Genomic DNA, 26,294 nt, shown 5'->3' with positions numbered 1-26,294 from the left:
TCTGAAATCCATTATTCAGGACTGAGTCTGAGCTAGACTGCACCACTCTCAACTCCCTTTGGTGAAGCTCTAGTGGTAAATGTGCCCTCTCTTGAATTTTTGTTGGTGACAAGGTAGTACTTGCAATCAGTAACAGGATCAACTCTGTACACATGGGTATGAATTTGAGAAAGATCATTAGATACAACTATCTTACCACTGGAGGCCTGCTTTTTGTGATAAGCATGGCTTGCTTTGGACCAAGGGTGACACAAGGGGCCGTGATTTGAAGGGTAGTCCTCAGCCAGAGTGTGGGAAGGGCTGTGCTTCAGCTGTGCTATGGCAATTATGGTCTTGGGGTACTTGGTTCCTAAAAGTTCACAAGGACCAAAACCCTCAAGGGTTTGGAAAGGCCTGATTATTGAGAAAGTTGTTTCAGTTGGCACAGCTTATTAATCAGCAGGGTTGGGCTGAATGTTCTGATACTACTAACAGAGGTAAAAAACCTTCAAACCCATGCTAACAAATAAGAATGAGAACACCACCACCCACCCCGCCTTCTCCCTAGTGCTGTGCAATGTAGTGGTTCTCAGTCCAGCCATGCTTAAGAAGCCTTTAAAATGTGTCCATATTAATCCCTTCCTCCCCATTGCCATCTCCATCATTCTGGTTTAGAGCTATACCCTCATGTTTAATTCCTGAAAATATTGTTTTAGCTACTGTCTCTGTCTTCAGGCTTTCTGACCTTCATCTATTCCATAAGTTCTTCCTAAATGTCTTTCTGTTCCAAAGCCTTCCAGGGACTTCTTCCTATAACCCAGAAGACTTAACAGGTTTGGCAAATGAAAAGAGCACTGCAGTGACAGTCAGGATTACAGGTTTCAAGGAAAACTCTGTTGCCCACTGGAAGCTGTACGTTCTTGCCCAAGTCATTTATTCTCCCTAAGTTTTGTTTCCTTATCCATAGAGTGGGGGTAACAATACCTTTATTTGTTCAATACCATGAATATCATTTATGGTGATCTAAGCTGACAACAGATATGAAAACCCCAAAGTGTTACACCACTTCTGGATTCAGCAAGAGAAATGTAACGATCCATTATAATAGCTCACATTTATTGAGCACCTACTTTGTGCAAGATGCTGTTTTAAGTGCTTTGCAAATATCAATTCATTTAATCCTCATAACAACCCTATTTTACACATTAGAAAACTGAGATATAGAGAGAGTAATTAGCTTGCCCAAGTGCATCATTTTCAAGGGGGTAGAAATGGGCTATGAAGCCAGAGGCCATATTCTACAAAGAAAAAAACATAGAGAAGGAATCAATCCTGCAAATATAATTTTCTAAATAATTGGTGGTCTTTCCTCCAACAATTATTTATTCAGAAGTTCATATATGTGATGAATTTTTATGAAGCACAAACTGTATGTCAGGCATTCTGCTATTCTTGGGAATTCAAGAAAAACTAAACCCAATTCTTACTCCTAAAGGGCACACAGTCTAGTGGTGGGCAGAGATCCATAAAGATAGTGATAAGGTTTTCAGAGTACTCTGGATCCAAATGAGGGCCACTCAGCCAGGTTTGGTGAGGTCAGGGAAAGCATCTCAGTGAAGGTGATACTAGAGATGGGACATAGACAATCAGGATTTGGCCAAGCAGACACTGGCAAGTGGAAACAGACATTTTAGGAAGAAAGAACAGTAAGTCCATAATTAGGATAGAGAAGAGAGTATGCAGAGAACAACAGACCATGATTATTGAACATAATTCCATGTGGCTAGAGACCTGGTCTGATTGTTTACACTGCATCCTACAGCATTTTGTATTAGAATGTAAGCCCTAAAAGAGGAGAGGACTTGTCTGCTCTGGTCACTATTATATTACCAGTGCCTGGTACTGATGGGGGTGCCCAGTAGTTATTTGTTAAATGCATATATCCATGTATGAATGGATGGTATGTACTAAATAAATACTAGTTGGATGGATAAATAGATAAGTAAATACATAAATAAATAAATAAATGGAGTTCTACCCAAAAGAGGCTGAGACAAGCCTCTAGATTTCATATACATTGCACTACATATAAACCCAAGCAACTATCAATCAAATTAATTTGTCTTGAGTGCCAAGCACCAGCATTTAAACTTTATCTTAATGATAACACTGGACCACTGAAATGCCTCAAGCTGGAGGGTGACACAGTCATACAACATGTGAGAAAGATCACTCACATGGAAGTTTGATCAGAGTATACAGAGTCATCTCACAAGAAAGCCTAGTCATAAAACAGTGAAAGAAAAAGCAAACATTCAAAGCAGGGTTTACTCCCACTTTTAATGAAACTATTCTATGAAAATGTGTGTGAAAGCAAAGTAAAGGACTGAAAAATAACTTCACAAAGACTGGAGATATAGGATACTCTGTAGTGAACACTGGCTGAAAAATTAGATACAGGTTTTGGCCCTGCTGTGTCTCTAACTTATGCGGGGGGAGGGGGTTGTTAGCAAGTCACTGGATTCTTGAGAGCTTAGGTTTCTACTAAACAAGAGAATCAATGGTCTCAAAGGCCTCCTCCAGTCCTCTCATTCCAGGATCACGGGTTCTATGACTCTCTGACCTTTGTGATACTGTTTTAAAACATGCAGAAGAGTGAACCGAATAGAACTTAGCTTAAGCTCATAGATTCGAAATGATTTTGGAGAAAGTGTTACTGCAAGGAATATAAAGTTCAAACCCTTCATTTTATAGATACGGAGATCAAGGATCAGCAACATTAATTTAAATGCCAAGATCATATAATTAATTGAAGGTGGAGGAGAAGATAATCCCACTCTTATTCATTAAACTGCATGAACTTGTTTATAGACAATCAAAAATTAGGCAAATTGAACTTGAACTTTTTGCTACATTTAATTTTAAGTTTGAATATCTGAATTCATTAATAACTTATTCAAAAAGAATTTTAATAGAATTTATGGCAGTTACTGGTCAAAGTAGTAAATGTAAAAGTCAACGAAAATTAAATCTTCCTTTTGTTCTTTCATTTGTGAATTTCTACTTGGTACTGAGTCTTATGGGTACAAAGACGAATAAGACCCAGACTAGGTTACTTATAGTGTTGTATGAGTTCTAAAATACTATGGTGCTCCATCCTGTTTTCAAATTTTATTGTGTATATTAACTTAGCTTAGAGGACAATTTTCCATGTAATAGTTGTATTTTTTTAAATGCTGCTCAATATTTTTTGCCTTTATGTTAGGGATTCAAACTCCACAAAAAAGTCAATCCTTACTTGTTAGATGTACCATGAAGGTTTGTCAGTATAGTGAAGTTGTTTCTCACACTTCGCAAGCTGGCAAGGACCTAGAAGAAAAATGTTTTAAACGGTTAAGGACAAAAGAAGACAAATGGCCAGGTTCAGACTTAGAAACCAGCGACAGTGAAAGCAAGCCAGGGCCAGCATAATACATACCTGGGCAAAAGGAGTTACAATCAAGTCATCGCCGTGTCTGGTGAAAAGAGAAAAAAAGAACCTTTAGAAATTTACTTGAATTATAACTGTGACATATAAGCTATAATATTAAATTTTATCAGTGTTAACAACACAAATGTTATACAAGTTCTTCTACCTGGATATAAGACAGGACTCACAATTTGGCACGAAAGGGTATTCCAAGAGCTTGAAAGGAAAAAATTAGTACTAGATTCATGACTCCTGAATTTACAGTGACTACACATAAAAGCATTTGCAAGTAAGCATATATCCTCAGGATATATTCCCATTAAATAACAGATCCAGAGTACTGTAATTCAAAGCGACTTGTGGATTTTGGTTGCCAGAGCCAGGAAATTCAAAGGGAGGGCTGCTCACAGGGACACACACAGTTGGAAAAACTGGTATAACAGTCTGGATAAAGGTTAACTTTGGATTTCCTGGCTTTTGTTGATTCGAACCACAGCTTTAATGCCATTTAAACACAGATTTCTGTCTGGGAATCCCATTACTTTTTGTTTGTAATATAACTTTTTCTTAAAGTACCTAAGGAAAAGCTTTTAATAGGAGTGTATGGCTGAACCTGCCATAATCATACCATTGTCACTCCATTTTGTCCCAAAGAACAGATTAAGCTGTACCTAGTGTTATGTAAATCTGTATTTAGGAAGAGTCAAAAATGTGTTTTCAGAAGTGCACACTGTCTCTCTGGCACATACTTTGAGAAATCTACTTAAACCCACATTCAGCAAACTCTCTATTGAAGGTACTAGAAGACATGTTGGTTTGAGCTACAGTCACAAAATCAGGCCACTTTGCTATTACAGTGTGAATCATCATAGCAGCACAGAAATTAGTAACAGTGAACTTCCCTCAGTGTCTGGCCTACCTTCCCTGTCCTCATCATTGTCACACAAATATGGCACCTTCTTTGTTAACTACATTAGTGCAACCAATAATTATTAATCATGTGCCCTGTACCAGGCACCACACGAGGCCTGGGGCTCCAGAGTCGAACAACACATGCATCCATTTGGGCCTCTCCTCTGTCATAGGCTTTTAACTTGACATCTTATTTAATATGATACTTTTATTTCCACCTTTTTCTTCAGCTAGAAACCTCCAAACTTCAATTTAATCTGGCAAGTGTCTTCTGTGCCCACTCTGTACAGTGACAATAAAAAGAATACTGACAAGGAGTAAGCATTATTTGTGTCACTACTGTTGTCTGCCAGGTCTTGTGGTAAGCAGTTTACATGTATTATCTCATTTAATTATTGTAACAGGGCTGTGTGTCAGGTACTCTTAATATTGCTATTATATAAATGACATCGATCCACAGAGCAGTTAACTAGCACATACCTAGTAAGTAGAAGAACTGAGACTGATTCCAAGTGTAAGAATTTAGACTGTTTGGTTTCAAAAATCTGTGCTTTTAAACACTATGCTTCATTTTTGCTGTTGTTGTCATTATTTTGTTTTGTTTTGAGACAGGGTCTAGCTTTGTCACCCAGGCTGGAGTGTAGTGGAGTGATCTCAGCTCACCGCAACTTCTGCCTCCAGGCTCAAGCAATCCTCCCACCTCAGACTCTGGAGTAGCTGGGACTACAGGCACACAACACCACACGCAGCTATTTTATTTATTTATTTTTGTATTTTTCTGTAGAGGCAGAGTTTTGCCATGTTGCCCAGGCTGCTCTCAAGCCCTGGGCTCAAGCAATCGGCCCACTTTGGCCTCCCAAGTGCTGGAGTTACAGGTGTAAACCACTACACCCAGCCTATGCTTCCTATTTTATGACTTGCTGCATAGTTGACATATCAAATCATACAAAATATCCATGAACTCCAAAACTGAAACAAAGTAGGGGAAACAAAAAATATTTTAAAAACTGTAATAGACATTTTAATACAGAATGAGAATTAAAAACAATGGGTATACTTCATGAAGTCCAAAGGAAACATGACAATTACAGGTTAGAGAAAGTAGGAAAGTCTTGATTGAGTGAGCAGTGTTTCAGAGGAACTTTGAAGGATTTAAAAAGTCAGGGATGGTAGATGCTGCCAATGAAGAGAAATGGCAGGAACAAAGGTACTGAAATGGGAAAATACTGAACACGCTTATTAAGATGTTTGATGGCTATTTGGGTGGAGCAGAGCATATTAGCTATAGACATTTGTAGAGAATAAGGATAGAAGGCCTCCCACGCTCATATTATGGACAGTCCAGACAAAGATTATAGAGTCAGTACTTAACTCCATAGAAAGAAATCACCCAGGCTGGGCGTGGTGGCTTATGCCTGTAATCCCAGCACTTTGGGAGGCCGAGGCAGGCGGATCACCTGAGGTTGGGAGTTTGAGACCAGTCTGATCAACATGGAGGAACCCTGTCTCTACTAAAAAAAAATACAAAATTAGCTGGGTGTGGTGGTACATGCCTGTAATCCTAGCTACTTGGGAGGCTGAGGCAGGAGAATTGCTTGAACCCAGGAGGCAGAGGTTGCAGTGAGCCATGATCGCACTATTGCACTCCAGCCTGGGCAATAAGAGTGACACTTTGTCTCAAAAAGAAAGAAAGAGAAAGAAAGAAAGAGAAAAAAAGAAAAGAAAAAAAGAATGAAAGAAAAGAAAAGAAAAGAGAAAAGAAAAGAAAAAGAGAGAGGAGAGAGAAAGGAGCCAGGGAAGGTTTTTAGTGAGATGGAAAGTGAGATGGGCCAACAGAAAAGTGTTTTAGAAAGTAAAATGCCTTGGATGTGGAGGGATAGATTGGAGTGGGGACAGACCTGGAAAGAATAGTTAGAAATTGCACCCATTCTGATGAGAACCAATAGGTAATGTCAAGAAAGGGACAGAATGAGACAACTTGAAGAGAGCCCAGAGGTTTTGCAGAACTTGACATTTAATTGGATAAGGGGTCATAAAGAAATATAATTTTCAATTTAAAAAATGGATATCTGAGAAAACAGTGAAGCCGTGAGTAGAAATAAGGAAATGAGGAGTTTCCCCTCCTGTTGGGGGAGTTTAAGGTAGTCACTGAGTTTTTAAGGTACACGTTGAACTTAAAGGTACTGATTTGTATCCGGGTGGAGACATCGAGCAGGAAGACTGAGATATGGGAATTCGAGCTATAGATTTAGGGGTTTCCTACAAAAGTAGGGATAGTTAAGGCCATGGCAGGAAGTGGCCCCATGAGGTGGGGGTACATATAAATAGGGAGCCAAAGGAAGAGCCTCAGGGTTCTTGGAGAGATACAAAAAAGAAAAAATAATCAAGACAGGAGCAGTTGTGATAAATGGAGTGTGGTGAACTGTATCAGAAACTGACCCTTTCCAACCTTTTTTCCCAAGATGAACTTTGAGATGGGTGAAGATCTTGTGGTTTGTTCTGATTCTTTTCTTTCCTTCTTTCTTGCTTTCTTGCTTTTCTTCTTTCTTTCTTTTTTTTTAGGCTAGTCAAGTGAAGTGTTCTGATTTCTGATGTGAAGTTCACATTGTTCATAAGACAACAGGATGAATTTGGGACAAGATAACGGATTTAGATTTAAGTGCATCTTCTATGACTCCCGGATTTCCAGAGTCTAGTATCTAATAAAAGCTAATTAATATAAGTAAATCTCATGCATAGGTGGTACCTTGAGCTGATGTACTGTTGAATGAGTTGGAGGAGTTATTAAAACTGTACAATCCAAAGATTAAAGGGAGATAAAGAAACATTAATAGGGCATAATGTCAACATGACTTTATCATTATGGAACTTTTGAAGTTTAGGAGAACAGAACATTCAGAAGCAAAAAATGGATTTTACAGATGCCCAGCATTGGTTCCCTTAAACAATTTGAGCTGCCAAAGCTAATGCTGTATGTTAGAAAATTGCTATTAGAGAATCTATCAGATAATTTATAGAAAGTAACAGAAAAGAAACAAAACAAAACAAAAAACTTCTCTTAGAGTGCAACCAGATTATTTATGGAACTATTATAAATTTTTAAAAATCATAATTTGATAAATCACTAGTTAAGAATCAAATGGCATAGAAATTATAAAACATTTGATTGATTATGAAAACTGATACACTTCTTACTTTCCCAAACCCCTGGAGAAGGCAATGCCTCTCAGGAGCAAGTCCAGATATTCAGAATCATTGCATTGCAAGAGCAACATCTAGTGACAAAGCCAGCACATTACAAATTTGTAGAATAACGAAATGAGCACTCCAGTCTTAGTACTGAGTCATAGAATTGAGTGTATGTAGGTCTGCTCTAAACAATAAAATGATTTTCTAGAAAGCAGAAATACTGCCTTTCACTGCCACACTCTGAATTTTATTAATTCATTCCACCTTTCTCTGTTTTCTCACTACACACAGAAATTAACTTGTAATTTCCTTAATTTTTGTCTGTCATATGGAGAGATATATACTATAGTGGTTAACAGCACAGATTTTGGAGCCAAAGTGAATTGGTTTGTTTCTCAGCTGCATTATTACTAGCTATGCGACATTAGGTAACCTCTCCATGTCTCAACATTTTTACCTGTCAAACAGGGTTCTGTGAAAATTAAATTAATTATTACATATGTACAACTCTTGATAACAGTGCTTAGCACATAAAAGCAGATTAGTTATTGAGTTATAGTTATTATCAATACCAGTAGGTATCTTTATTTTTATATGGATGGTCCTCAACTTAACGATTATTTTACTTATTTTATTTATTTATTTATTTTTTGGAGACAGAGTCTCACTCTATTACCTAGACTGGAGTGCAGTGGCACAATCTTAGCTTATTGCAACCTCCACCTCTCTGGCTCAAGTGATCCTGCTATCTCAGCCTCCTGAGGAGCTGGGACCACAAGCACGCACCACTACTCCTAGCTAAGTTTTTGTATTTTTTGTAGAGACAGGGCTTCGCCACGTTGTCCAGGCTGGTCTCAAACTCAAGCGATCCACCCACCTTAGCCTCCCAAAGTGCTGGGATTACAGGCCACCACGCCCTGCCCAATTTACAATTTTTGAGTTCACAATGGCGCAAAAGCCATATGCATTCAGCAGAAACTATACTTTGAGTACCCATACAACCTTCCTGTTTTTCACTTTCAGTACAGTATTCAATTACATGAGATATCGAACACTTTATTATAAAATAGGCTTTGCTTTGGATGATTTGCCCAACTGTACACTAATGTAAGTGTTCTGAGCACATTTAAGGTAGGTTAGGTTAAGCTGTAATGTTTGGTAGGTTAGGTGTGTTAAATGCATTTTCAACTTAGGATGGGCTTTTTGGGACATTGTAAGTTGAAGGGCATCCATAATTAAAGGGTTGCATGTCTGTATTTCCAGCTGATGAGAGCTTCTTTAATCTTAATTCATGTCTGTCCATTGCAATCAAGAGGACTCATATTTATGTTATATTTACAGTTTACAAAGCACTTTCATGTACATTATTTCATGTAGTAAGAGAATGCTCCTGATCCCAGGAAATAGTGCAACCACCTATCTTCTCGACCAAGCCTGAAACCTCCCTCTTCCTTATCCTTCAATTAAACACTAACTCCTGCTGATCCTGACTTGCAAATATGTACTAACTGCTCACTAGATCATCTGTAATATAAATCCCCATCCTCTTTTACATGAATATCATGGCAGCCTCCTGTTTGGCTCTGTAGGTTTGAGTACTAGCCTTTAAGCTTCCCTACCCTTTAAACCATTTTCTATACTGCAATCAGAGCTATTTTTTTAAAATGTTGCATTATATGTTTATCTGCTTAGTAACTCTCCACTTGCAACATAAAGGCCAATTCCTTAACATAGGCCCTTCATGATGAGGTTCCTGCTCACTTTTCCAGTCTTGTTTTTCACCACTTCCTCATCCTCTCATATCCTCTGGATCAACCACACTGAGCTGTGGTTCTCCAAAATGCTCCCACACTAACTGGAGGATTAGTTAGCACCTGGCCTCTCCTGCACTTCCTCTGCCTGCCTGACTCCTCTAGCTGAGCTGTAACCTCCTCAGAGTAGGCTGCTTTCCTGCCTGGCCAGACCTTTCAAACCAGTGCATAGCTCTCTATGCCTGCCCTTATCTGAAACTGCTAAAATTGCCTATTGACTTCTAATGTTTCCGTACCCTTGAAGACACAGAAACTGTCTTATTTGTTCACAAAGTTCCTAAATTTACATACTTATTAAAAGAGAGAATGAATATGATCCTCCTAACAGCTGGAAAGGTAGGCAGAACAGAAATTAATAGCATTATTTTGTATTTTTCAGCCTCACTTAGAGTCTGTTTACATACTGGATATCCATATAGTTTACCTCCTAGACTTCTTGGGTTCGTCTTGTTCCCATTTATTGGAGAAGTCACTTAACTTCTCTGTGCCCTAATATCCTCATCATTAAAACAAGAAAGTTATAGTACCTACCACATTGGGGATATGGAGATTAAATGAATTAACATATGTAAAGTATTTTAACAGATAGCATACAGAAAATACTCAATAAATGTGTGCTTTTACTTACAGATAATTTAGAGACAATAAAAGAGATTCAATGTCTTAAAAGCCATGGTGCTAGTAAGTGTGATGGTGTAAGTCTAACTCAAGTCTTAGAAACCACACTGCACTTTTTGCTAGTCCATCAATAAACAGGTTTTAAATTTAAGTGGATTATTATTTCTGCTTTTCCTCTTGGTTCTTAGGTCTCATTTCCCTTGAAAATGAGTAGGCTCTCTCTAGAGACTACTTAGTCCACACGTAAATGGTGGCTTTCAAAAGCTTCTTGTCTGTGTAAGGCTTTGCAAAATGGGATGACCAAATGAAAAAAAACATGGAGTTTCCTTTCCTGTGGCTTTGCAGGTGGATAATCAAAACTCCATTCTGTCCATGGTGGTTCCTGCCACAGTTTTCAGCAGTAAAACTGGCCTTACTAGTTTCCAGTACTTTATGTTCCCATGAGGCAATCTGTACCTCAGTATACGAAGGCATTACGTTTGGGATGACTACAACACAGGAACTGAACAGAAACCAGCAAACTATTGCCACATCTAGGAAAGCATCTGAAATTGCCTTTTGGGACCCAATGGTGATCTTGCTTTACTTCACTATAAAGCCTTATTCTGATCCTCTCCTTTGTTGCTCAAAGTTAAAGCTACTTTTAATTTTTCTTGTTCACATTTTTACTCTTAATATCTTTTCACTCACTCTCCCCTGACTATAATTTTCTGTTACTCTTCTGAAAAAATTCAGATGAGAAAAATTTAAAAGCTAGTGTTTCCTTTATTACTAGGATTTAATGCAGTAGAATTATGCAAAGTTTTCCACCATTCATAAAAAATTCATGACAGCTCTGTGCTGGGTATGAGGTCTGTGAGCAGGGAACATCCGGCAGCCCCCACCCAGTGGCCTTCACATCTAGACTCTTGGTCTATTAGCACCCTTCTTGCTTCCTGGATCTATGGGTAGAAGGCAAAAAAAGGGGCGGGAAGTGTGGGGAGCTGCTGTTCCTCTGTTTCGATTCATCTTAAAGAGTTAATAATCATATGAAATAGCTTTAAGAGCATTACTTTAGTTCAGATTCAGATATTTATGTGAAACTGGATTTGCCAACTTAAAACTAAATTACTAGAAGAAGCTTAATATTATTCAAACTCTACTTCTCAGCGTGTTGTGAAATATAATTCCAAAACTGACAAATATATAAAAGTTTTTTTCTGTGGTACTGAAATATTTGGAAAACAAAATCTTGTGCTATTTTCATTCACACAAAGATTTTAATATATCCTGTTATCAGTATTTTTGATAGGGTGGTATTATGTTGCCAACCTTGTTTTCTTGGGAAAGGCTGCTTTTTATTATGAAATTGTGCCCATACTACTTTTTATCTAAGTCCTTATCTTTAAAAAGTGAGAATGATATTAAATAATTTACATATATAATTTTTACTTGCCTAAATTTAAAGTTGGAAAATTTAGGTTCTAAAGTTACTGGGGGCAGGGGGTGGGGCGGGTGGTGGGGAATTTTACTGGCCAGTAAAATTGAAAGGACAGTAAACTACCAGTAACAGGGATGCTGGATGCGGTGTCATTTAGAACTACACCTCTTTTTTGACTGCCGTAGATTCAGTTGGATTGTGATCTTTAAGGTCTCTTCAAATTTAACATTTCTACAACCTTTTGATTCCAAATAATGAAACACAAGATTTAATCTGGAAGTGCAGTAGAGTTTTCTGGGGCGACTCTGAATGACCTTGAGATTCTTCCTGCCGTTTGGCTTGAGTCTGGAGAGCTCTTAGCCAGGGAATTAGTTTTTGGGGAATGACAAGATTTCAAAGCTAATCTTGCACCTGTAAAATACTATGTGAATTAAGCTCTAATTACTTTGAGCTCACCACATGACCTACGGTCTTCCATGATGAAGCCTAGAAAGGTGTTTATCTTGGTGAAGGAAAGAATTCCCAATATCTTTGCATTCAAAGACCCCCATTCAAACTTTTGTCAGAAATGCCTTGGGTTCTACAAGATCTACAGCAAAGTTGCTGGCTACCTACCTCTCCTGCAGCCTTGGACACCTCTACTCTGCAGTCATTTGTTTTCTACCTAGTGGTAGAGATGCCACTTTGCAATTTGAAGAACATGGATGGAAAGATTCCAAAAGTTTTTAATATGGTCAGGCTTAGCCACATCATGGGACACAGCATGATACACAGTCATGGGATAGGGGCAAGTTTCTCAATCTCTCAGAGTCCCAGTTTCATCATCTATGGAGTGGGGATAATAAAGACACCTACCTGACAGATTAACAGAGATAACATAAGAACATGAGCTCGGCTCCATGGGAAGTGCTCATTAAATGTTATTTCCTTTCACTCTGTTATGTTTGTATGTGTGTGTTCCTCTTATCTTTCTTATTTAGCTGTAACCTCCCTGACAGCATGCACATTTTTTGAGAATGAGATATGCTTTTAACTCATCTGTGATTTTTACACTGTTTTGTTTGTCTTTTATCACCAGAGATTGACACAATGTGTGGCACAAAGGAGAGAATCAGTAAATTTTGCCAAATGACTGAAAAATGAATTTGGGCCCACACAATGATTGAGATATTTTAGGGCAGGGGTGCGTCTATTAAAATGTGCTGGCAGAAATGCCTCAAGGAATATTTTTTTGCTGGTAGCTTCAAAATTCCCCCTTTCACCAGAGGGTGAAATTTTTGACTTCCCTTCCAATAGCAGAAGAGAACAGAGTGGAATTTTCCAAACTGGAGACCTTAGGGAGCTACTGATACTTTTATGACATATAATATAAAAACAATTGTATCTGTGCCCAGAAACCTTTTAAGGCATGAATTCCAGAATCCAATTTTATTTGGTTTTGGAAATTTAATAAATGGGTGACACAACCTAGATCTTGTTCTTTAAATAAAATTTAGAGATTTACAATTAATAGCGGCAAAACAAAAATATCAGCAGTGCTTTACAGGGCGGTGGAGTGTGTTGTGTCTCACCAAGGAGCCAGGCAACAAGTGGGCATTGTGTTAAAGTTTCAGAGAAGGGACACAGGCATGTGTCTGAATGACATCTTATTAAAGTCACCAAGCAAAGGCTACTGAGACAGCATGCATATAACCAATCACCATTTTTCCTCTTTGCTGGAGCCTCATGAAAACTGCACACACAGCTGAAATTTCAAGTGTGATGTATAAAAAGTGTTAAGGTTCTCATGCCATAAATGACTCAACAGTTCAGGAAATGAAGCAAAATAATTTTTTTAAGGTATCAGTAAAAGATGTAAAGTAAACACTGTGTCTAGGTTTTCCAAAACCCTTGGAGACCCCAGCTACATATTCCGCATGCTATAGAGCATTAATGTCCTTAAAATGGTCATCACGTCACCCCTGCTCATATTCATTTTCTTCCTTCATCCTTACCATAGATTAATGGGGAATTGTTGTTGCTGCCACTGTGACCTGGGTAGAGATGAGGTAAATGTGAAACTGGAAGCCAGACAGAGCTTGTACTTACTGCTCGCTTGGAAGAGAAGAGTTTCTCGACATCGCCTTTGGTGACAAGTCATAGTCGCTGTCTGATCTGTAGAGAAATGACTCTCTGCGCTGGCTGTGCCCAGGAAAGGTGGCGTGAAGTACCAGCCCAGCGGAAGAGCTGGCCTGGGGATCCAGTGGACTCCGACCTGGGGAAGGGCCATTTTCCACATCAAAGCTTAAAGAGAAAGTGGGAAACTCTGGTCACATGATAACCATGGAGGAGGACACATAGTATACACTGAGAACCAACGTGTGGCAGGTACTATACACTAAGCATTTTACATAAAACTGTATGTACTATGGAAAGTTTTCATCCTCAACACAGCTTAGAGTTGCAGTCATTATTATTTTCATGTTATGTATAGGAAACTGAGTCGCACTGAAGTTCAGTTATTTACCCATGCCCACCATTAGCAAATAATGGAGCCAGAATTTGAACCCAGGAGCAAACTCCATGGCCTTTCAGTGACATGAGTAACTTGGACAAATTCGGCGTTGGTGCCAGGCATACAACAACTTGGTGATAATAAGCAACTTTAGAGGGGGCATTCAGCACAGCTCTAGGTGTCAGACCCTGAACTATCACATGAGTAAAGTCTTCCTGTCTGGAAGACTTCTTCCTGTCATGAATAAATATCACAGTCTCATTAAATATACAATACACGTATTTCTAAATGTTTCAGGAACAAAGTGTTATCCTGACAACCTCCACTGGGTTATTAGATGGGAGGCCCAGCCTGAGATTTAATATTCATCTGCAAATTTAACCACAGAAAATGACTTAATTAATCTGCTAACACCAAATTACTCTCCAAGGCTGCAGAGCTTTGTCTCTGGGGGAGGATGCATTCACTGGCTCCCACAGAGGAGTGTCATGAGGTTTCCTATCGGTCTTCGTCACTCTAGAAAGGTGCCCTCAAGCCCAGAATTATTTGAACATGCTCTGATCAATGAACACACAGACGGGAGCAGTAGAGATTTTGTCTCTTGTTTTCTGTATCCACGCTCCTGGTATTTCCCTGGGCACTGTGCCCTTTTCACATTCTCCTTTATCATTACATATGCATTTTTTCCTGCACACACAATCTCTCTTAGCCTCAAATTGACAGTAATCCTCTTCCCTAGTATTTCTCCAGAACTCTCACTGCTCCCCAGCTAAAGCTTTGCAGAGAGATGGTGAACAAAAGATATGGGGCTGAGGATGCTCCTTTTTTCAAATTAGACCACAACAGTGAATTTCCTGTATACCAATTCAGCGGCCATGATTTATGTCTACATTCTTGGTTCTTTCCTTTCACTAGTTCTTACAACCAGCTCACTTTGGGTGGATTTTGCTTATATTTCTTCACTTTACAAAGTGCTTCCCAATACATTATTCCATTTACTCCTAACAACCCTGTGAAGTATATAAAATGATCCTACTCTACATTTGAGGTAAATGAGGCTTAGCAAGATGTAAATACCTTTCTCAGAGTCATAGGCTAGTAACTTGCAGAGCAGAATTGGAAGACTCATGTCTTGCAACTAATTTCTTTACAACCTCAGACTTTCCTAATGACAGAACTCCAGAATGGCCCAATAGATAACTGAGTGAAATTCCTCTTTAGTCTCTGAATTCAACCAAAAGTAATTTGGTACATAAAGAGCCAGTTAGACTATAAGCAACCTTGGCTGCTCTCTTGAATGAAAACGGGGAGGCAGCAAATTACCCTGAAGCTGTAGGTTTCCTTGAAACATGAGGAGAAGAAATGACAGAAGGCAGGGTTATAAGGCTTCCCCAGAGACCATTCACAGAAGCTGCTTTTAGACAACCCACAAACTCCAGGTGTCTGATAAGAAGCAGAAAATGATAATGTCTGGGTAAAAGGCCAAAGAAAAGCTATAACAATCCAATATGTTTGGTCTTTCAAGGTACTGTAGATGAATTTTCTCAGTAGGCTAATGGTCTGGGATGGGGCTGCCTTTCAAAGACTGCAGGCAGACAGGCAGGTGGACAATCACTCATACTAGCAGCCTGCTTGCCAGCCTGCCTGGAGGCAGAGCTACGTTGTTAGCCACATACATTGCAGCAAGCAAAAATATAATAAAGCGACTTGCAAACTTCCCTTGGGTGAGATCTATCGTAGTTGAGCAAAATAAAAAGCCCCTCTGTGGATAAGGGCTTTTTTGTGTGCCACCCAAACCCCTAGAAACAGTAGGTCATGGGCTCTGAACTATTTTTAAGGGCAAAGTAGGTAGGTTCTTAAAAAGTGAAGAGGGGATTACACAAAACTTAATGGTGGGCATGAGTTTAGAAATTTCATGTATTTATGTTGTTATTCATCTGGTATGTATCTGTGCAACCTTTCTGGATATTAAAACACTAACATACTTTTAAAACTGTTAGCATCCATCCACTGCCCCAGGCCCTCCAGGGTCAGCTGGACTTCTTGGTGATCCAGTAACTAAAGGATTGGTGTCTGGAAGCACTGTGCCTGTGTCCATTAATTCATCAGTGCTCATGCAGTGCCAGTCATTAAATATTATGAATACCACTGCTGTGTGTATCTGTGCTAAAATCTTAGAGCAGGTGCCAAGTGGGTATGCCCACCGAGCTCTTAGAACTCTTTCCATTCAGGGTTTCCACCAAGGCTCATTCTGCCTTCTTTTTTGCTAAAGGCATTCCTAGTGGGCAGAGGGTAAGTCCACAAAGCATTACCCTTAAAATGAGTGTCATAGGCATTCTGTCCCTAGTATTAGAATCCAAGAAGTTCACTTATGCCAGGTAAACTGGGGTTAGACCCTGACTCCAATGATCTCTCCATGATGCCCCTGTTTGCTTTTGTTTTCTTTCCTTCTTACCCTACTTAAACTCAGGAGAGCTTGCTGGAATTTAAACGAAGCCAGGGAAGAAGTCTCTGATGCAAAGAAGCAGTCTTAGGGAGACAAATGGCCTTTCATATTCCCTGGGGCACTGCTTCAAAGCAACCAACACAGATGTACAACTTTGGAACAAACATGAATCACCAACCAGACACCAGCCCCAGTCACAGCAAAATTAGCGGGCAGACATCACAATACGTCCCACAGATCCAGGGAGTGAGGAGGGGTGTGGGCAAAGGGAAGGCTGAGGACAGGCTTAATAAGCAAAATGAATATACCACACAAACTGAAATACAATTAGGAAGAAAATGGAATCTACAGTAGCAGAAACAAACACATAAATAGGGCCATTATTTGTTTAGGGTAATTTTTGCCTCTGCCTTCATCAGGACACATATTTCACCTTTAGGCTGCTTTATATTTTAAAAAAATCATTATAAAAGAAATATAAGAATATTATATAAAACGTAGACAATAGAGAAAAGAACAACATCATTACTAGCAGTTTATTTTTTTCTCTTCTGAATATTTTTTCTCCTGCAGGTTTGGATCTTGATTTTTTTCACAAGTATTTGTTATGTGCTACAGTTTTCAGAATTAGCATTTTCCATGAGCTGCTTCATTCAGTTGCTGTATCACAATTTTCTCAAGCATTTTCTCTACTTTCACTCTTCATATTTGCAATTCTGAATAATGTTGCAGTTGATAACTTTGAGCTTGTAGCTACTTCAACATTTAAATGAGGTCACACAGAAGTTTCAGATAGATTAAGACAGGAAGTTACTCACAAGTTTCTGAATATTTGATTGTGACTTATACCTGCCTGGAAGGGGTTGCCCATATATACACGGCATTGAAAGTGGCCTTTTCCCTGGGTCCAAAGACCCTGCCAAGCCCTGCTCTCTGATCTTCAAGATTATTTATGTTGCCTGCTCACTTGGATCTGCCTTCTTCTCCCTGCCTCTGCCAATATCCCTGGACTGAATCAATTGCTCATCTGAGACCTAATGTTTTAACAGCCTTCTCTTGCATTGTATCTAGTGTTCTCAGCTCTTCCAGGCAGTGATGGTGGGTGATGGGCTGTATGAGAAGTGGTGCTTCCCATAACTGGAATGTCTTTCCCATTACAGTCTCCATTGAGCTAGTATCTTCAAAATTCAGTTCATGCCATCTCCCAGAGTATGCGCTCTCTGACACTGCAGTCCAGTTTGATTTTGACACATGCTCCTCCTCTGTGCTCTCCTAGATTCCTTTACCATAGTACTTTATCACAGTACTTGCAATTCTGTTTTAATTCTCTATTTATTTACTGCTCCCCAATACATTGTTATCTCCAAGCCAGAAGGGACTCAGTATTACTAAGTATTACTCATTCTTGTATCCCAGGCACCTGGGTCAGAGCCTTGTAAACAGTAGGTCTTCAAAAAATGTGGACAGAACCAACTAAAATATACTATAACTTACTGCGAAATGTTTCTCCAATCCCTCCCCTCTTTCTGCTTCCCTATACCCACCTCAGACCCCACTGCCTTGTGTTTCTGCTGTTTCCTTTAAATGAATCTACAGAGATGTGTCATTAATTTATTTGTTCGGCCTTGTGAGACAGTGATCTAAATAAAATAAGATACATTTTTTAGAAAGCACTGCTATGTTCTCCCTGAGCAAAACAAATCTGCATAGAAATATCACTGGCTTAGCTGTTTGAGATGGTCACATCTTTACACAAACTCGCAGGAGGAGAAAAGCCTTCTTATACCAGCTTGTGTCTGCCATCTTCTCATCTCTTCATTTTTCAATATGAGCAGGAACGTTCTCTGGCCCACAGTTATTCTCCTGGTGGTTTCTATTCCTGGGGAATCCTTGCAAAGCCAGCCCTGAGCTGGTGACACGTGAGCCAGCAGATGGCAGCAGACTGCCACACTGTCCTTAGGCTGCAGGCCCCAGCCTCCAAGCCCAGCAGGTGGGGCTGCTGGCAATTTTGGAGGGAGAAACATAACTGAAGCCTTATTCATAAGCCTGGGAGGAAAAATCAGGGATAAAGAAAAGAGCCACAAGGTGTACCATGAAACCTTTGATTAACCTAAGAGAAGCTCTACTTCCTAGAATTCAAGTTAAGCCAGGTGGTCGCAGAATTGCCTGCAATTGTCCCCAGGGTGGTTGTTTCCTGATCCCCAATTACTTGCACAAACTCCAATTTCTGTAACAAAGACTCATGAAGCAACATCCTAGGAATAATTCATTTCTGAACCAGAGGAGATTTTTCTTTCGCAACTTAGTCATTCTCTAGGTGAACCTCTTTGGCTTATTCTAACAAATAACCCGCTAGAAAGACTGCAAACTCCACAAAAGAGATTCAAATCCACAGGTCCGCAGAATGGTTCACTGCCTTTTGGGAGAGAGCTCTTGCTGTCTCAATTTTGCTTTTCTTTCTTAGAAATTACTCACTGAGTCTCTTTTATATCATTGAATTATAACAACTCTGGCAGGCTAATTCTTTTTGCCTCATTTCAAAGAAGAGAAAATGGAGGATCCAAAATGTGAAGCTTCATTTGAAAAATGTGAAGCTTCATTTGAAAACTGCTAAGGTGTGACCTCTTTTCATTACACCTTACAATCTGTGCCCTGACCCCTCAGATGTCCCCTTAGACTCCTTGATTCCAGAACCGGCCATGCTAGACTATACTCTTGTGTTTACTTATCTCTCTCACTCCACCAGATGGTGACCTCCTTGAAGCAGGAATGAAGCCTTCATTTAGTTTTGTAGTCCCAGGGCCTAGAGCTGAGTATCACACCAAAAGGCACATAACAAATATTTGTTAAATGAATGCAAAGATCTTATAGTTTTTTCTCGCATCTGACAAAAAGCCAGTTTCATTTGGATTAAAACCTCTGGCAGGTGATGACCTCAGTGGAGCTCTTAAAGGGAGTCACTAGGTTCTTCTTTCCGCATTCTCCCTTCAGTATCCCAGGAACTCCGTCCTAGGAGTTTTTGCTTACAGAAAATGTTTCTATAATAAGGTGTATGTTTCTGTATAGAGTGTGTGTGTTGTGGGGGTAGGCATAGTCATGAAAAAATGCTGTGTTTCTTAAAATTTCTATTGGAAAATATTCTCCTCGGTTGTACTCAGAAACTAACTGTATCGGGAGGCTGAGGCAGGAGAATCACTTGCATCTGGAAGGCGGAGATTGCAGTGAGACAAGATGCGCCACTGCACTCCCAGCTGAGCAACAGAGTGAGACTCAGTCTCACAAAAAGAAAAAAAAAGAAAAAGAAATGAATGTCTTCAAATGCTTGTCTATCATTTTAATAAAAACAAATAAATATTTATCCATTTACTTAAGTGATTATATTGGCTATCACTTCAAATGTACTATCTGATCCCTATAGACAGAGAAGTTTAACAGGCACATGTGTTTTTACCCACAATGACAATGACCCATCTTTCTATAATTAGTCACTGCAGGCTGCAGCCAGTCCTAATTTCTAATGAAGGACTAAGCTGTGAAAAACACAGCCAGCCTAATATAGAGCCCACGACCTAGACGAAGGCAGGCAGAACTCCTCTGGCCACAGCTACAGCAGAATATTACAGTTATGCCATAAGAATTCAGTTCCAAAGTCTATGACTTCCCTTCCACAGACTAGGAAGACGAACTCTGATGTTCAGCTCATCTGAAGTCTAGAAGCAGCTTCCATTGCTTTCTCTTCTTCCAGGGCCTTTGAAAATTACATTCATGGCAGTAATCCAAAACTGCTTTCTCCACAGAAAGGCTCAACCAGAGGTAGCACAGGAATGCTGAAGAGCTCTGAGATTCTAGGGATCCGGCTTCTACTTCCAGCTCTGTGGGGGAACTAACTGAAATGAAACAGGGGCTCCCTGTATCCTGCCCCCCACACCTCAGTCTTTTCCCACAGAAATGAAGTTGTGAGGTAGATCCCTGAGGTACAAGATTAGACAACTTGCAGACATTTTGGAGATAGAAAAAATGTTGGTTATCAAGTGTGGTTTTATGTTAATGGTGATGAGCATTCATTTACTCAACAAATATTTAGCAAGCACCCACTATGAAACAAGGCACTGTTCTCCGCCTGAGAATACAGCAGTGTATGGAACAAGGTCCCTGAGGGAAAGATAGACAACAAATAGGAAAGTAAGATAGTTTCAGATAGTGAGAAATACCATGAAGAAAATAAAACATAGTAGTGTGATAGAGACAAAGGGAATAATGTTTCTTTAGTTTGGGTAGTCAGCAGGTCCGCTCTATCCAGCCATGTAGGTTGTCTATTGCACTTCACCGGGAAACACCATCCACCTTTCTCAGGCGGTGTCATTTGAGTTAAGATCAGATACAGGTAGTGGTAAAACTTGTCCTTTAGTTCCTTCCTATCCTCATTTCTATACTTTAAAGAATTGAGTCAGATGATACTTAGGTTTGAATCTTTTTCTTATTTTTAACCCCAGTGCTAAGGGCCATGCCTATCACGTCTGATGAATAAACAAATGAACAAATGAATGGTTTGGGACCAAGGAATTTTTATAAACTCCCCTTGATACCCACCACAGACAGCACAGACGAACTTCAACAAGACTGACTGTGGGTGATACGGTGATACTCAGTCATCTCTTGCCCTGTACCCTAATCAACCCCTAAAAGTTAGCTCCATAAAGAAGAACTGGGGATGTGCTACCAAATACCACCTGCAGGGAGGGGCTAGAATGCCTTCCACAGGGCTCTAAGCCCAAAGGAGAGGCCCAATGACCACACACAGCAAAAATCATTCACATTCTTTGGTATTGATGTGGTGAGAGATGGAAATGCCACAAGTACTTCTCAATGTTCCTTTGTTAGAAAGCTTTAATTTTTGATGATAAATATATTTTGCAAATTATTTTACTTATTGATTGAGATCCTTTTTTTGGGTTGTAAACATTTCACTATCAAGAAATGGGTGAACAATGAAAAAAGAATATCAACACTTAGTTTCTCTACTGAAATTGTTAAGTATCATTTTTTAAAAGTTTTGTTTCAAATGCTTAGGAGTATATTTTAGTGTGATTCTTTGGTAATTTCCCATTGTGTTGTTCCTATGTCATACTATTTAATGCACAAGCAGAACAAGACCATATGTAAACATTCCCTCTTCATAAATATAGGAGCATTATTTCTAGCAAGCTTACAAAATGCTCTGTCTATCCCTTTCCAGGTAAAAAATGTTTCTCAGAAATAATAGGAATTACAAAGTATGTCTTTCTTTATGTTTTCTAATTATGGCTGAAATTTCACAGACTCGATTTCAAACTTTTATCTACTAAAACCCCTAAACGATGTTACAACATTTAATAGTAATTACCACTTTTTATAAAACTGTAATTCTAAGGAAAGGAAAAGTTCTCTAAAAGAGATTAATTTTGTGTGGGAATGTTTTCTGTATGTAGACATTATAAAGGGCCAGGGAGGGGGGTGGCTTTGCATTGATTCTGCCCCAGGGTGCACTTTGAGTATACAAAATATTCTACTCGCTCAATATTTTCCAGGCTACATTCTCCATTTTTTAAAGTTATCATAAGAGATCGTTAAATGCTCTATTAGTAAAATATAAATACTTTAATTCATAAGTTAAGTATCTCTGCCAATAAGACAATCTATTAATTAAATAAGATTTTTATTAAGAAATATGGTGCCAGCTTCCAATAGCTCAAGATCAATTAGGGAAATGAGATTGATCTGGGAAAACTAGTTTTTACTAAAGTAGTGATGGCTTCAAGAAATTGCTGCTTTCTTTTGTAAGTTCTCACCTACCATTTGAAAATCAGTTCTAGATATATGTTTGAAACCTGTATCTAAAATATTGCAGATAAATGGTCATTTAGCTTCTGTTTGTATATTCCAGTGATGGGGCCATAGTAACCACTGACATAATGAATTAAATTTTTGAATTGATTTAATTCTTCAAGACTTGGCTAGGAAACTTTAGTTTAATCTTTATCCCACCCTTCCCCGCCCCCTTAGTTTTCATTCCCTGCTCCCAACCACCTACTCACTCATTCTCCCTCATAGTAGTAAATGGAACCACCATCTACTCAGTTGTACAAACCAGAATCATCCATGATTTTACTTCCCTTCCCAACCTCCTTTCTCCTTTTCAGTTGACCAACAGGTCCTATCCACTCTATACAGAAACTGTACTGTTTTGTGTATCTCTGTTTCCACCACGGCATTAAAATCTCTCATCTGAACTGGAATAGCCACCCCATGGATCTCTCCACTTCCACTGTGCCCAACTCCACCCTCCAAACCTTCTCCACATAGCAAGAGCAATCTTTTAACACAATAATAAAATCATGTCACTGCCTGTAGGATAAAATCCAAACTCCTTGCCATGGATCACAAATTTTCACATAATCTAGCCCTTGCCACACCCCCCATCCTCATCCAATACCACACTGTGCCCTGCTCAGTGTGATTCAGCCTCAGAAGCTTCCTTTCTGTTCCAGAACATGCCAAATCCTTTCTCAATTCAGCAATTTTGCACGTGTGTGTTTTCCTTCCTGGTATATCTGCTTTGCTTTGAACAGTCCCTGGCTGGTAGAAAGTGCTACATAAATATTTGTCGAGTGAATGAATGAATAAATGTTGGTCTTTCTGTTTGTTTTCTCCTCTACTCTCTGGATGGCTGCCTTCTTCTCATTCTTTAAGCTTTAGTTTAAGTCATCTACTAAAAAATTCCTTCCTTAACCCATTATTTAAGTAAGTTCCCTTCACAGTACCTATTAAAGCTTTTTGCTATATTTATTTGTCTTTTTTTTCCCCTTTTATTGCCTTCCTCTCTCACACAACTCTAAGCCCCACGAGGGCCATCTGTTGCACTTAACGGTATACTAACTAGTGCCTGGCACTTTCCTGGGACATACTGCAGGTTATGAACAAATGTCTGCTCAATAGATTAATGAAAGAATAATTGACTGTGTGAGCGCATTAAACACCAACAATAACCTCCATGGTTCACAGCAGACCCAACTTGTTTTTACAAAGTATTTCTTTACTCAGAGAAAGGATATTTATTTATTGTCATTGGGCCAGCTCCCACATCAAGTCTAAGGAAACTGAGATTTAAAACATAAGTTGATGTAAAAACTTGTCCCAGGTTTGAAGCATTTTTGTCGTTATTACTCTGCATTTATTTCAGAAAATGAGACTGGTTTTCAGATCAAATTTCACAAGTCTTTGACCTTTCAAGCAGAGCTCTAGGGAGGTGTTGAGGTGCACATCAAGGGTGCATTTTCAGTTCCAGGTTTGTGAAACAGCATAACTTAATATTTCAAGAACTTCATATTTTTAAAAACAATTTATATTCTCTTGAAAATGAATAGGCCATATATTGTCTTTTTGGTGGAGGTAGAGACGTGGAAGGAATGGCATTATGGTTTGCTGTAAATTCAAATAATAATCATAAAATTGGAAATCAATGCCTCAGCCTCCGGTCTACATAGCACTTAATAGTGTTTATGTCAGTTAACATCTGGCCTCCAAATGTTATCAGTCTTGAACACTGCACCTGCAGACAGCCTGGCATTTGGATTTTAAATATGTTCTTTTGGGAAGGGAGGAGGGGTGAGAGAAAGGGAAGCAGAGAAAGTAGAAGTGGAAAAATGATATTTCAGAATCTTTCCACTTGTACTTAGGCAGTAAAGCATAGAAAAGCTATATATTTTTTTCTCACAGGTATTGAGTGGGCACAATGTGCCAGGTCATGTGCTGTACATTTGGTATATATTACCTCATTTCATTGCTCTAATCACCTTCTGAGGAAGGAAGGAACTTGTTTTTATAGACGTGAAAATTCAAATTTAAAAGGCTTAAATAACTTGCTGACAACCACTTAGCTATTAAATGGTACATCGTGGATTTAAAACCAGTTTGGTTGGATCCATTAATGAATCAATCAACTCACACGTGTAAACAACTGTTCTGTCTTTCTTCTTGCTGCTATGGATACATTTCTGTGATTTTATCAGAAGCCAACTCCTCTGTCCTGAACCCTGTCCTCCCTCACCTACTCATGGTCTACCCTTCTGCATACATTTACTCTCTCCTGCATCATCGTTTTGTATTTTGCATGAGCAAACAATCAAGCTGTAAAGTTTTGTATCAAAAACAAACAAACCCACAAACAAAAAATAACTAGTAAAAAGATTTTCATCAAACATATGAAAGTTGAAGGAATTCATCATCTCCAGCAAACCCAAAGTACAAGAAATGTTAAAGGAAATCCTTCAAGCAGAAGGAAAATGATACCAGATGGAAATCTGGTTCTATACAAAGGAATAAACATTTTTTTTCTTCTTATTAAAATCTCTTTAAAAGATAAGTGATTGAAAAGCACACATAATAACAATCTACTGTGAAGTTCATGACATATGTAGAAGTAAACTATATGACAAGAGTACAAAGGCAAAGAAGGGGGAAATAGAAGGGTATTCTGAAGATTCTTACAGCTAGATAAAGCGGTAAAATATTGCTTGAAGGTAGACTGTGATAAACTAAAAATTTATACTCTAAATCCTAAAGTAACTATTAAAATTTTAAAAATGAAGAGATATATATAATAAGCTAACAAAGGAAATGGAAGCATAAAACAACTATCCAAAAAAGAGAAGAAAAAGAGGAAAAAGCATATAATGAACCGCTAAATTTAGCCTGAAACTTCCTCTGTACTTTTTACGATATAAATTAACTGAAAGCTTAACTTAGGCTTATACTTATGTAACAAATAGCTGAGCTCAGCCAATCACAGCAGCCAAGCTTCAATTTTGGATGGCCAAGTAATCATGCTAATCAAGCTGTTTCTGTACATTACTGTTTTCTATTAATAAATGCTGCTGCCCATACTGTGGAATGCTGCTCTCTGAACCTGTTCTGATCTGAGGGCTGCCCGATTCTGAAAAAATCCTTTGCTCAGTTAAACTCTGTTAAATTTAACTTGTCTAAACATTTTTTTTCAACAGAATGGATAAGACAAATAGAAAACAAATAGCAACATGGTAGATTTAAGCCTGACCATGGCAATATTACCTTCAAATGTAAATGGTCTAAACATCACATTTAAAAGGAAGACATTTTCAAGATGGATTAAAAAAGCATGACCTGACTACATGTGGCTTATAATAGATCACTTTAAATATAAAGACACAAATAGGTTAAAAGGAAAAGAATGAAAAAAGATAAACTATGATAACACTAATCATCAGAAATCTAGAATGTCTATATTAATAAAAGAATAAGTAGATTCCAGAGTTAAGAATATTACCAGGAATAAAAAGGATGATTTCATAATGATAAAAGAGTCAGTTCTTGAGAATATAACAATTCTAAATATTTCTGTACCTATTAATAGAGTTTCAAACTACATAAGGCAAAAATTGATAAAACTGAAAAAAGAAATAGAAAACTACACAATTATAGCCTCAATAATTGATGGAACAAATAGACAGAAACCCAGTAAGGATATAGAAGACTTGAACAACATCATCAATTTAACTAATTGACAAAGATAGACATTTTTTCAAGTGCACGTGAAACGTCACCAAAATAGCTGACGTTCTAGTCTATAAAACAAGTCTCAAAACATCAAAAAAATTTGAAGTCATACAAAGTTTGTCTTCTGATCAGAGCGGAATTAAACTAGAAATCAAAACCAGAAAGATTTTTGGTAAAGCCCCAGGCATTTGTAAACTAAATACAGTCTAAACAACTCATGAGCTAAAGATACAATGAAAAGAGAAAAGTATTTTGAACTGAATGACAACGAAAACATTATATGTTAAAATTTGTAGGATGCAGCTAAAGCAGCATGTTCAGGGAAATCTACAGCTCTAAAATACCTTTATTAAAAAAATAGAAAAAATGACTTCCGTTTCTAGCTC

General features: G+C 38.5%; 1 protein-coding gene across 7 annotated transcripts in view; it reads right to left on the bottom strand.

Annotated features, from left to right (window-relative positions):
* Positions 1 to 26,294, bottom strand: part of PDE4B (phosphodiesterase 4B) — a 582,070-nt gene that overhangs the window by 113,439 nt on the left and 442,337 nt on the right. For 5 of the 7 annotated variants that reach the window (NM_001037341.2, NM_001297440.2, NM_002600.4 and 2 more), the window contains 3 exons: positions 13,487 to 13,681; positions 3,458 to 3,494; positions 3,278 to 3,348 (listed from right to left, as the gene is read on the bottom strand). In NM_001037341.2, the coding sequence (NP_001032418.1) occupies positions 3,278 to 3,348; positions 3,458 to 3,494; positions 13,487 to 13,681 (303 nt within the window). Of the gene's footprint in view, positions 1 to 3,277; positions 3,349 to 3,457; positions 3,495 to 3,614; positions 3,791 to 13,486; positions 13,682 to 26,294 lie in introns of those variants that run through there. The other 2 variants (XM_047422401.1, XM_017001445.2) reach the window with 2 other exon arrangements.

This window comes from Homo sapiens, chromosome 1 (assembly GCF_000001405.40).
Source record: "Homo sapiens chromosome 1, GRCh38.p14 Primary Assembly".
In the NCBI taxonomy this organism is placed as follows: domain Eukaryota; kingdom Metazoa; phylum Chordata; class Mammalia; order Primates; family Hominidae; genus Homo; species Homo sapiens.
The sequence above is the reverse complement of the archived record's forward strand: the minus strand, read 5'-3'. Positions and strand labels throughout refer to the sequence as shown.